The 14,039-nt window shown below is 35.7% G+C and overlaps 1 protein-coding gene across 3 annotated transcripts in view; it reads left to right on the plus strand.

Annotated features, from left to right (window-relative positions):
* Positions 1 to 14,039, plus strand: part of GALNTL6 (polypeptide N-acetylgalactosaminyltransferase like 6) — a 1,228,156-nt gene that overhangs the window by 228,498 nt on the left and 985,619 nt on the right. Inside the window, exon 1 of one of the 3 annotated variants that reach the window (XM_017008244.3) lies at positions 9,654 to 10,630. The exons of the other annotated variants lie outside the window; for them this stretch is intronic. Coding sequence (XP_016863733.1) covers positions 10,469 to 10,630 — 162 coding nt within the window. The 5' untranslated portion in view covers positions 9,654 to 10,468. Of the gene's footprint in view, positions 1 to 9,653; positions 10,631 to 14,039 lie in introns of those variants that run through there. 3 annotated transcript variants of the gene reach the window in all.

The following is a 14,039-nucleotide window of genomic DNA, read 5'->3' on the forward strand; positions in this document are numbered from 1 at the left end:
TTTAGCTTTAAAGAGGACTGGCAGTTGACAGATTCTTTCTCTTGGATTACTCAACTCCAGTTAAGAAATATAACTATTGTACTGTAAAAAGCCAAGACTGACCTCTTGGAAAGCCACTTGAAAAGGTCATGTGTAGAAAGCAAGGGGTATTCAGCCACCTTCCAGCTGCTCCAGTCCTCAGCCATTCAATTAATAGCACTGATACCCTGAACATTTTAGGTAAAGACACATTTTCTCCAGTATGCCCTATTCCAACTCTTAATCCCAAAACAATGAAGTATAATAATAACAAATTTTGCTTTAAGCCCTATGAGTTTTGGTAAACTCTGCTACTAATTGAATTTGTGATATTGGAAATTTTATTTAAACTATTTACACCTGCAATTGTAAGTAAATAAAATGATAGTGCCTATCACATTGTTATGACTAATGAGATACTGACCTTGATGTTTCTAAACTGTATATGGCACATAAAAATAAGCCTTTAACTCCATAACTTGTATTTCCAGCCTAGACTTCTCTTATGAGACCCAGACATAATCATATATCCAATTGCTCATTAAGCAAGTCTACTTAAACGTTTTATAGCACTTCAAACTTGTATATTCAAACTTTTCATATTCCCTCACAAGCTGCTCCCTTTTCTGTGTTCCCTATTTTGGCATATGGCACCCCGTCTATTTAGTTTCACAAGCGAAATCCTCAGTTATCTTTGATGGTTTCTTTTTATTATCTGGAAAAATCTGCTTTTTTTAAAAAAAATATACAAAACAACTCAAAAATGTTTTCACTTCTTCTCCCACTGCTGCCACCTTCCTTAACTCATCTCTCTCTTTCTTTCTGTCTTTCTCTGACTATTCTGATAGCCAACTCATGTCACTCAGACTTCTGCTCACTGATTACATCAACTTTTGGCACTGCTCCAAGTTTTTACCTTGTTCTATCCGAGCAATCTTTAACAGTAAAAAAAAAAAAAAAAAAAAAAAAAAAGGTAATTATTGTGATGCATAAAACTATTCAATGAATTCAATAGAAAACAATTTAAAATTTGAAACACAGTGTTACAGACTCTCCAAAATCTGGCTTTTGGCACCTTTCCAGACTGATAATGAGTCACCGTCTTTGTTGGTCATTACCTTTCAGCCACACAACACTTTGGCCTATTTTAAAAATATGTCCCGCCCTTTCTCATCATCAGGGCTTTGCAAAGCTTGTTTCCTTCTGCGCACACTCTCACTGAGTTAACTAGCAATTATTTTGGCTTTTGTACAATCATTTCTTCCTCAGGAGAATGCTCTCTGACAAACTCGGCTTTGATTAAAATCTCTGAAATGTAATCTCTTTATACAGTATCTTCTTCATAAAGTTCATATAATTCAAATGGATTCCTTTTGTGTGTGTGTTTTTATTATTACCATTCGTATTATTTAAGGCCATGGCACAGAGAGGGTTAAAAGTGGAAACCAGCAATTAAAGGTAGGGAAAACTGATAAGATATGATACAAGCTTCAATATTGGAAGAGGCCAGACTTTATTAAAAGATGGTCACATTTCTCAGCACTGTGAGCTATGGATCATATGCATTTATTTACTCACATGTATACACACATGTGCGTGTGCATATATGAATACATAATGATATATAACCACAGCTATACTTTTTCATCTTTTAAAGGTTTTATTTATAGGATTAGAATACGGGTTACAAATGTTAAATAAATAGAACAGTTACTAGTTTCCACAAACATTTGTTTAGTGTATAAATATTCCAGGAAAATTTCTGGAAATACAGGAAATAGTATTATCTAACATAAGGCAAAGTGTTCTCTACCTACTCTTTGTTGAAGATTTTCACCAAATACTAGTAAAGTTTTAAATGCAAAGATATCTTCAATTTTGAAAGGTATGGCCTTTCAGCCATGATTACAAGCAGGCCCTTATTTCATTTTCTGTTCCATTTAAATGTTCGCTTTAAATGTCACAAGTTTATGGCATGCATATTAAATAGAGAAATATAACTATTCTCTGTAGACATGAGAGTAAGCTTTAAAGAGATTTGTTAGTCTACTTTAAACCAGAATCACAACCTCTGTATTAGGAAACAGTGTAAGGAAGGAAAAAGATGAAGATGAAAGTTGAGCTTCCCACTTAGCTCTTAGGAGTTTGGTTAAGATCTCTAGGATCTTAACCAAAACATTCAGATTCTCCATGCACAAAATTAAGAGGTAAGAAAAGGTCAATTCTTAGTCTCACCCAATTTTAACATTCTACCATATTTTAGTTACTCAGTCGCCTAAAATTCCTTCTGGGCACTTCCTATTAATACAAAGTCACTATTGATAAAATGGTCATATATTGACTATTGTTATCCATTGAACATTAAAATAATATTAGGTTGGTGCAAAAGTAATTGTGGTTGTTGCCATTACGAATGCCCTTATAAATACATGGCACTTTAAAGAGAAATTGAAAAATGCGTACTATCATTTGTTTATATTTTTGGTGTTATATTTCCAGCATGTAGTGAGAAGCATTAAGAAAACAGAATTCTAGCTTACCCCGAGAATGTCAATTTTATCTTCAGATATATGCCTTTCACATAGAGAAAAATCAACAGACTTAGGGAAACAAAAATGAAAGTAACATCAGGCCACCAAAGTTCTATAATGATTATATTGTACTACTATTCAACAAATTGTATTCTAATATATGCCTGTAAATGCTGAGAAGTGTCACAATTGTATAACACTGGGAAAGAGATGATTTTAATTTTGCTTTTTTCATTGTAATTGATTTATTAGACTCTCTAGAGTTATTAATCCTTTGTAATAGAGTTTAAACAATTGTAACCTCAGACACTTGCCTTTGAAATTGTGATAATTTCAAATAATAAGGCATACCCAGAAAACTTTGTTTGCATGACTTAAAATATCTATTTGAGCTACAGAATTACATAAGCCTTCTTCTTTTCTATAAAGTATCAAGATCTACAAAATTATATTTCAATTACTTTTTCTATACAATATATTTCAGTGGGTGCACATAGATAGTTATTGGATGAAAAAAATGTAAAACCCATGTCAAGTATGCCAGCCTGTGCTGTGTATCACCAACTGTAATTTAAATGTGGCTATTTTATTCTTATATAATTTTGGCTTTTCATTGTTCATGATATATACTAATTAGCTGACATTTTACCTTCATTTAATATATTCTTTTTGATATCATACAAAAACTTTCAGTGTTTGATTAGAATATGCTTGAAACAATGTTTAATCTGCCATACTTTCTTTCATCTTCACTGTAATACAGTAGAGCACTGTGCGCCTAAGAGACAAGCTTATATAAGGCCAGCTTTGGCTTTGTACAGTGGAGCAGGTGGGTCTGAATTCTATTCTAATGCAAAAGGAGCTCCACAAAATTTGTCCATATTTACGTGGAAAAATATAACCTGTTAATTGCAGTGTTTGAGAATTTATATATTTAAAAATCAATATAAAATTTCCCTAAAGTCTTCTCAGTTTTTGCTAATTTAATTTAAAAACAATATCATAAACATTATAAGTCAGGTTCTGACATTTTGAGATTTTTTTAAAGGGTCAAATGCCTGATTTAAAAATAATTTCATGTTCAACATAGTATTAAATGCTTTCCAAACACTCCATACATACTTTGGTATTTATAGAAAAAGGGCTATTATGTGAGATGCAAAACTACTGTTCCTTTTTAGGCATGTGAACTGATATTTCATGTTTTCTTTAATAGAAAATATCTCCATATTTATAGGCAGTTCATAAACCAAGTGTAGGTCATTTGGAAATTCACATTAAAGTTTAATTATTGCACACTGTACAATAGAACTAAAAAAAAAAAAGAAAAAAGAAAAACTAAACAAATTCCTCCCATGTAACTGAGATATGGTACACTTTGACCATCTTGTCCTCATTCCCCTGGTCACGCCTCTGTCTCTGTAATCACTATTGTACTCTCTGCTTCTATGAGTTTGATTGTTTTAGATTGTTTAGATGTAAGTGAGAACTTGTGCTGTCTGTCTTATTGTGCCAGCTTATCTCATTTAGTATAATGTTCTGCAATACCATCCATGTCTTGCAAATAGCATAATTTTCTTCTTTTTTAAGGCAGAATACTATTTCATAGTGTATATATACCACATTTTTATAATCATTTCATTCATTGATGGACATTTGATTCCATAATTGATTGAGTTGATTTCAATCAATTGAATTGATTGATTGCATAATTGAGTTGATTCCACAACTTGGCTGTTGTGGATGATGTTGCAATAAACATGGGATTGCAGATATTTCTTTGATATATTGATTTTAAATCTTTTGGGCACGTACCCAGAAGTGAGCTTGTTAAATCATATGGTAATTCAAATTTTAGTTTATTATTATTATACTTTAAGTTCTGGGGTACATGTGCACAACGTACAGGTTTGTTACATAGGTATACATGTGTCATGTTGGTTTGCTGCACCCATCAACTCGTCATTAACATTAGGTATTTCTGAGGAAATTCCATATAGTTTCCCGTGAGATCTGTACTAGTTTACATTTTCACTAGTTGTATACAAGTGTTCCCTTTTCCCAGCATTTCACTGACCCTTGTTATCTTTTGTCTTTTTTATAAAACCCAGTCTGACAGGTGTGAGATGATCTCTCTTCATGGTTTTAATTTACATTTTTCAAATGATCAACCATGTTGAGCATTTTAAAAATAGATCTGCTGGCCATTTGGATATCTTCTTCTGAGGAATGTCTATTCAGGCCCCTTGTCATATTAAAATTGTGTTTCTTGTTTCTTTGCTGTTGAGTTATGTGAGTTTCTTATATATCTTGTATGATTACCCCTTATCAAATGTATGGCTAAAATATTTTCTCCCAATCTTTAGATTGTCTCTTTACTCTGTTAATTATTTTCTTTGCAGTGCAGAAGCTTTTCGGTTTGATGTAATTTCCTTTGTCTATTTTTGCTTTTATTGCAACCCCGACCATCTACTTTGTGTTATGTATTTACTTTGTCAAACATGACATCTAATCATGCCATTTTTTCAGAGACATTGAGACGTCAAGGGGATGAGGTTCTATATTCTGAGATTTTCTTTGAGAAAACTCCCATTCATTCTTATGAAATAAAGGAGAAAATGATTGGTTATTGAAACAAACTAACCTGCTGAAAATGAACGTCTGTTTTCCTTTGAAACTTGCGCTCACTTCCTTTAATTGACCCAATTGCTGCCACTTTGGCCTCCGGACGCTCCCCGCAGCTCTGTATTGATTCCCTGGGAAGGTTGCATTGAGGCAGCGGCTCTCAAACCTAATTTTTCCATTCAGTTTTACTTTCTATTAGTTGAAACAGACAACACCATCTCCTCACTAAAGATATATGCTACGGAAGTATACAAACAGGTTCTGGAGCCTAGGGCATTCATTAAAATAGAAATACCGTAAACATTTATTATATCAGAAATGGGAGACTGCACACCACTGACCAAACAACAGATGTGTCAAAATGATGCATTAGTTGAATTTTGCCGTGCTTTCCTCTTCCTTTTCCACCTGAGAACAAAGCAATGTACCAGTTAGAAAAAGTAAAATAAAATAAAATCAGCGACTGAGTTGCAGAGTAAATGATATCAAAACTCTCTGCAGATTTAATAAAAGTAAATTACTAGAGGTCATTACTTTTCATGTTTATTGATTTTTGCAGTCAATATCATTATTAACTAGTGGAGAAAAAGATTTATCATGAAGTTCCAAAATACAGAGTTAAAGGAAGGAGAAAGTTCAGTTAGTTCTCTATTTAAGGAAACATTATACTCACGAGCTATTATCAAAAAAACAAAGAATTGATAGTCAATGTTTTTTAAAAAAAGTTTTCTACAGTCATGAAAAGGTATAGATTGTGTAAAAGAAGGTTGTGTTTATTTTTAAAAATTAATATTATTATTGTGTTAATATAAAAATTTTAAATGAAGCAAGAATGAGTAAAACATTTTTTCCACTTGAGTATACCAATTTATATTTTCTAGTATTGCTCTTCAGTTTCCTGAAGCCCTCTGACAACCTAATAGCAGTGTTACTAATAACATCGCAAACTCTTTGTGTAAACTCCACAAAGACAGGAACCTTGTTTATCTTTCTCTTATCTTCACAGTGCCTGGCATATCATAGAAACTCAATAAATATTCTTGAATGAAGGAAGAACCAGCAAGTTTCAAAGTAATTTTGAAGGGACTAGGTCATCAACTGAGTGGAATAACTTGGGTGAACTGACTACTGCCTCAGAACAATAACATTTTGCTATAATATCCCATTACTATGCTAATGTTTCAGTGCAAAAGAAGCACAGAAGAAGAGACCAAACTCCATGAACTTAAAAAAAGGGATTTATAGATACAGAATACCCAGAAGCCAAAACTTACACTTTCTGATATGTCCAGAACTATTTTGGGTTAAATTTTTGATACTATTCCTGCATCTCTGAAGCAAAACTCATAAGCACAGCTATTTGAATAAAATATCTGCTAATCTAAGCCATTTTCCCTCAGTCACCACAGAAGGCTGTAATCATAGATGCTACTATGAGTCAATGATTCCTTCAAATGGTTTAGTTATCAATAAAACCATCAAATGGACCATTTCCCATGAACTTGGATGAAAAGTATTATGTAGATTATATTATGTGATGTTAAAATATTATTTTCATGAACTAAAATTCACCTTAAATGTAACTACTTAAAATTTGTACATTTTGAAATAATAACCAATCTGTTTTAAAATTTCCCACTGAAAAGTTTTTCATTTTTTATTTTATTTTATTTTATTTTATTTTGTCACACTATGAGAGGCATTCTTGCAGCCCCATGCCAAGCACTAACTGCATGCAGAGCACAATGCTCCAATTTGCATCTTCCAAAAAAAGACAGCTCAACCAGACTTAATGTATTTTGGCTGGAAATTTGTATGCTTAGTCTCTGCCCAACATACTTTAGTTTGAAAGAGCCAAGCTATAAAGCCTAGAATGATAGTTTATAATAGGAAGCTTGATAGAGTTGTTTCCACTGATATTTTATCAGCTCCAGCAGTAACGCAATTTGTTTCTTAGAGAGATGGGAGTGTTCCTTGTGGACAGAAAAATAATGGTGGGTTTTACAATGATTATTTTGGAGAAGTCATCTTTTCTACCTTTCTGCAAATGCTATAGTATCTTTAGGTTATTTTATAATTTGTGTATAATCATAAATTATATATTTCTTTGTGGGTCTAGTTTGATTTGTAAAATACTGAGACTTCATGAAATAAAAATTTTTTTTTATAGAAAGCATTCACAAGAAGTAAACTTCAGTTAACTTTGTTCTCCTTATTAGAAACTTTCCCTGCATACACTTGCATGGAGGGAGATTAGTGAACAAAAAGAAACAGTAGAGAGCTTTTGCCCATTTCTTATCTTTATTAAACTCCTGCCCACATGCCATTAGATTATCCTTTTTACCTTTTATAAAATAGTAATTGTCAATTACTTTACACTTCCTTTTATATTTATCTCTTTTGGATATTCTTACTTAAATTATTAAATAGAAAATGTAGTTTATCAGTAACAAGCCATATAATCATAGAATTGCACATAGAAGTTGTGCCAGCTACAATATCACGGGTGGAAAGATTGATTTCTATTTTACGTGGCTTCTCAAGACCACGTTTATTCTCAAATGTAGAAAATGTACTCTTGCCAAGTCAAGGTAATGTAAGTATTTCTAATAAAAAATGCAGGCTCAGCCTGGCGCAGCGGCTCATGCCTGTAATCCCAGCACTTTGGGAGGCCAAGGCAGGTGGATCACCTGAGGTCAGGAGTTTGAGACCAACTTGGCCAACATGGTGGAACCCCGTCTCTACTAAAAATACAAAAGTTAGCCTGGCATGGTGGCAGGTGCCTGTAATCCCAGCTACTCAGGAGGCTGAGGTAGGAGAATTGCTTGAACCCAGGAGGCAGAGGTTGCAGTGAGCTGAGATCGCACCATTGCACTACAGCCAGGGTGACAAGAGCAAAACTCTGTCTAAAAAGAAAAAGAAGAAGGAAAAAGAAAAAAAAAATGCAGGCTCTGTGGAGTAAATTCTCAGTCAAATATAGGTATTTTTCCCACTTTTACTCTCCTTCATTTTCTGGCTGGCAGGCTGGACTTTAGTAGTGGTAACTTTGGTTTTATTCCCTCAGAATCAGTCCCTGAGCCTATGATGTTATCAAACTAAACTGGCGTAGGCTCACCGGGCCAAGGTTTGCAGCAGGAGAAAGGAAGGCATTTATTTGCAGGGCACCAAGAAAGGAGAATCAGGCGGTTCAGGCTTTAGTCCCAACTTCCCCAATGGCTTGAAGATGAGGGTTTTTTAAGAGCAAGTGTAAATTTCAGGAAGGCAGAAGTTACAGGCAAAATCATAGATCAATACATAGAGGTTACACAGTGTTTGGCCTAAGGTCATATTTAGATTTAAAGTTCTTCTGATTTGCAGTTGGTTAAAAAAGAGAAGCTTTGTTTAAAAATTTGGGGTGGGCAGAAAAGAACTTTAGCTTGTGGCTCCTGGATGTGGCTTCCTCCAGGCCCTTCAGGAAAAAATGTAGAACAAAGAACATAAGTGGTCAGAGTTTAGTCCTTAGCACCCCTTTATCTGAGGTCTATGTGCCAGTGGACCCATTTGGTGTGGATCCAGGTTTCAGCAAAACAATTCAGGGACGTTAGTTATCTTTAGTTTCTAACTTCCTTGCCTATTATTTTGAGCTATTATCACCTTCTTGCTTATCAAATTCCTTATATACTTCTCCAGGCTAGCTAGGTCCCTGGAAGAAACTCAAGATTTTTCTTTAATTCTATGTTTGGGTGGGCCTACAGGCCAAGAGGGGTCCCTGCTCCCTCTCAATGATTCAAGTGAGAATAATTTATCTGGGAAATGAACTTAGGAAATACTGGGAAAGCAATGAGGAAAAAAGAAGGAACGCTAGCTAAGAAAGTATGGTTATCATCAGGGTCACTAATGTGTATAATGAATTTATTCTTGCTGGGGTATTCTTGGAATTTGTAACAAGGCACCTCATAAGTTTCCTCCTGAAACCTAAGGGTAGGAGTATTTATGATGCACTGTCATCAACCTTGGCAAAGGCAGAGTGTTAGTGAAGCAGGAGAGTTCCCTGACCCCCCTACAGGATGTGTGACAGGGGTGTGGCTTGTGTGTTCAGCACCATGCACTTAAATCCCTTATAGGAAGGGGAGCATGGAGACGGGCAGGTGCAGGAGCTGAGGTGAGTGCTTTGGGGCTCCATCCCCATGGTAACATGTAGGGGTGGGTACCTATGATTTCCAAAGCCCAAGTGGGCGTGTATTACAGTGCGTTCTTTTAGCTTTGCTGTCCACAGATGGCTTAAGTGTTAACCAGCTCAGTGCCCTCTTGATACCCAGGTCCTTGTCTGGAATCCAGGAAGAATCAGGTCACACATGGACTTGAAGGATAAATGCAGGGATTTTATTAAGTGGTTGCATTGGCTCTCAGTGGGATGGAGGGGGAGCTGGAATGGGGATGGGGTGGGAAGGTGATCTTCCCCTGCAGTTTGGCCACCCAGTGGCTGATCTCCTCTCTGATCATCCCCAGCCAGACTCCTTTCAGCATTCAGACGTTCCTTTTCTTCTTGCCTTCTCTACCACACTGTTCTGCCATTTTTCTTCTCTTCTGTTCATCTCCTCATAGGTTCTGTAGCATGGGGTCTGAAGTTTATATGGGCACAGGATAGGGGAGCATGGCGGGCCAAAAGGCAACTTTTGGGCATGAAAATAGGAATGCCTGTTCCCACTTAGGGCCATGGGTTTCCAGGCTTGCAGGTAGGGCCTCTGCCAGGGAACCACCCTCTTGTACTCAGTATTTCCCTGTCTCCTGTCCATATCATTAGTTTTCTGACACCTTGGGAACTGACAAAGCAAATAAAGGCTTTGGGCCAAAGGGTGTATAGAGTCAACCTTTCCAGCATTGACAGGGCTCTGGGGCTACCCTCTCTGCCTCCAGCCTCTCCCTTATCAGCACTGTCATACAGCTTAATATGGTGATCCTGACTCCTCTGCAGCCTTCTAGGAGATGAAATATTGCCTTTAAACTTTTATTTTACTAATAGGTCATTTTCACTTTACAAGTGTATTCACCTATGACTGCTGAGATATTAAAAAACAAAAAACTGGACTCTGAAAAAAGAGTCCTCACATATAATTTGAGAAGCACTGCCTTAGAGGGCTTCTAGCTCTGTTCTTATATCCCGGTCATGGAAATGGAACATTCACAGTTTTATATTATTTCAGTAGAGCCTCAAGGCAGAGAGGATACAGGACATGTACCACACTTCCCAGGGAAGAGCTCGGGTATATTGTGAGCTTATTTAGAGATGGGCTTGAACACGCCCTTGAAGACCTATGCACACCTTCACATCCTTCATAGTAACCACAAGCTCCAGATGGGCTGTTTACCCCAACCCATTCACCAGCCAGATGAGAGCCAAGTTCAGAGCCGGAGCTGGCCACCAGAGGAATCCAAGCATTAGTGCAGACCACGGAGTGCATGAGCTGGTTTACCAGGTAACCGGTAAAAAGCAAACGGCTGCAGTGCAGACCAAGACAAGATAGGGTGGTTCGTCTCATGGACGCTTGTTGTTGAATCAGGACTTTAGGGTCACGTAGTCTCACCATCATCTCTTTCTTTTGTGATCACTTTTGCCCAGGGTAGACAAGGTTAGCTTTGCTATCACTTTGTATTTGGAATTGATTCAACCTGACTTCCTACAGAGTTTTAAGCTTTGATATTTGAAGTCAAACTTTTGATATTCAGAAAACCTTTTTTCTCATGAACTTTTCCTATATAACTGTCTCTACTAGCATAAACATACATACATATTCACACACACTCTCTCACACACACAATTGTATTTGCCTTAAAAAACAAAAAACAAAAAAACTAAGTTATACTTGCCCTTTCTCTTCAAAACAATAGTTACATGAAGTTGTGGTTGCTGCCTGAATGTCAGGGGAAAAGGAATGAGCACCAGGCAGCACAATGAAAGAAACCTTACTATGTAAAATAATATTCAAGACTTATGCAGTGACATGTAAATAGGACAAAAATAAAATACAAATAAATACAACTAAGGCTGATTTTAAGATAAATGAACTCACGTCTAATTACCATTTTCATTAGATACCTAAACATATTTTTACCTGGAATAAGAATCAGAATACCAAATTTTAGTGATGAGAATTTTGTAATTTCTGAATCATATTTTATGTGAAAAGCTTTTTGAGGATTTCTTTGTAACCAGACATGGTGTTTTTTTAAAAAAAACACAATAATACAGGGGATCAACAGACCAAGCAGGTGCTATCCCCAGTCATTATAGTCAACTTAATAAATACTCTGCACACAGACATCCAAAACCTATGAGCATTGATCCAAAAGAAAAATCATTAAGGTGAGGATAGAGGTAGCCATTCTCCTGAAAGCTGCTTCCTTTAGTGCCTGTGGTGTTGGCATGAATAGCTCAAAGCTGTCTGGAATTAATTCTTTTCTAAAGGGACTGCTGAAAAAGACAGGAACATGTGTTCTTGGCAGAGAAACAAAGGGTTTTAAAGTACTTCAGTATTTATCCCACTACAAGCGAACTTAGTGCATTATATTAATATCACAATTGTCCCTCTACAATTGGGGGAGAAGTTTATAGCTGCTGACAAAATTTTCCATACACTTCAATCAGAAAGAAACAAATGAGCTGTGTCTATGTGTATGGTGTGTATGTATGCATGCATGCACATATTTTGTGTGTCTGTGTACCTGAGTGTAGGTGAACATGGACCTTTTTTTTACATGAATGGGTCCCCTAGCGAAGGAGGCAAGACCTTTAAATTTTATCTTTTGAAGTTATGTAAATTTTTATAACAAATAAATAATATATATCCATGGGCCAAACAAAAACTAAAGTAATCACAAATTATGAGTTTCAAAATCAAAGCACAATTGTATATACAAAACAAAATCCAAAATTAATAAGAATATTCTAAAATATTTTCATAGTTAAGCAAAATGTTATTGGTTCATGTTGAGAAATAAATGTTGGCTTCTAGAGTCCAGGAGGCTTTCTAAAGTTAGAAATCTTTCTTTCTAACGCTACACTTTAACATATCTAGGGATACTTCATGAGAAATCTAATATTCATACTTAATTTTTCTATTAATATTATAATTAATGTTTGATAATGGTAACTCCAATATACTGCAATAACTTTAGATATTAGAACAATTCTTATCACAAACATATTTTTATAACAGGGTTTTCAATCAAGGGTCAAAGAATCACAATTCAAATAGAAATAATTTAATGAGCACATTTTATATTTTACATACTTTATTTACATGAATTAAACATGCAAAGTGTCTTAGTTTATTTAGGCTGCTATAATGAAATTGATGGAATGGCTTATAAACAACAATTGATGGAATGGCTTATAAACACTTGTCACAGCTCTGGAGGCTAGGAAGTCTAAGATCAAGGCTTCCAGCAGGTTCAATATCCGGTGAAGTCCCACTTCCTAGTTCATAGACCAGAGATTTTCTGATTGTATTTTCACATGTTGGAAAGGGCCTCTTTTATAAGGGTATTAATCTTGTTCACAAGAACTCCACCCTCATGGTCAAACCACTTCTCAAAATCTTCATCCCCAAATATTATAACATTGAGGGTTACGTTTCAACATAAGAATTTTGAGGGAACATAAACATTCAGTTTAAAGTACAAAAGTAACCGTATTCAATAGTATAAAGGAAACCTAAATAATGATTCTTGTCAAACTCATATTGTCCAACTACTGAACTTCGAAACAAATGAGAAGTCGTGCCTTTTCATTAATGATCAAGAGAAAGTTGTTAGTTCTGTTTCTTGATCCAAACTTTTGATAACGGAGAATGGATTATTACAACTTAAAGTTGAAGAGTATATGTAACAAACTTTGACTGTCTCAATGTGGCATTCAAATAGGAACCAAGAGACAGCCAAACCTTAGTATTCAGCTTTTCTCCTTATGGGTCCAGAGCATTAGAACTAAATGCATGGAGACACACCCAAATGGAAGACAGAATCTCACTTTATTATTTGCTGAATGAGGGGCTTATAACTTATTGTATGGGGCTCTCTGGCAAAATAAAAAGAAAACAAATAAACCAATAAGTAGAGAAAATTTCCCCTGCTTTCCTTCTTCTTATTCTGAGATGGCCAGTTCTCAGAGCAGCCTCCTTTCGCTTTCAGATGTAGGCAGAAAGTAAACCACAAGGAAAGAATCAGGCTATTTTAAGGTAGAGTGGGCATTTGGTTGTATTAAAATTGTGTAATATTCTGGAACTAAAAACTCTCCTAATGCTTCACTGCTGCACATCCCTCTTTCCAACAATTTTCTTGAAGTAAATGGAGCTCTTTTCTAAAAAAATAGGAAATTTTGGAAAGTACAATTTCACTGTTGTTGTTACACATTTGAAAAATCCCACAATAGGGCTCTTTGGTAAAAATTAGATTGGAGAGTGTGGTCTGTGCCTAGAAATCAAATTGAGACTTCCATTTTTTTTCCCACCCTTTTCCCAAATCCAAGGTGGGTAGAAGTCCAGAGCAAATCCAAAGTCCGTTTAGTCAACCAGACATTGCAAATGGGAAAACCTGCTAGGCTTTAAGCTGAGCTCTGCCTAAGCAGGTCCTCTGGGCTGGAGTGGATTTGAGAGCCCCATCTGACACATGACAAAGTAATAACACTTACTGATAGAATGTAGCTTTGACAACTTCTGAGTTAACGTGGGCCAGTTATCAGGGTACTTCTTAGCCAGATTGGTCTATAGTTTTAGATTTCACAGAAGGGATCTAAAATTGAATTCTAGCCCACTCAGGGTTTATTAAGCTTGGGGGAAAATGGACAGAATGTAATTGAGTTCATCAATGATAGTATGAAAAAAGTTG

This window comes from Homo sapiens, chromosome 4 (assembly GCF_000001405.40).
Source record: "Homo sapiens chromosome 4, GRCh38.p14 Primary Assembly".
Lineage (NCBI taxonomy): Eukaryota > Metazoa > Chordata > Mammalia > Primates > Hominidae > Homo > Homo sapiens.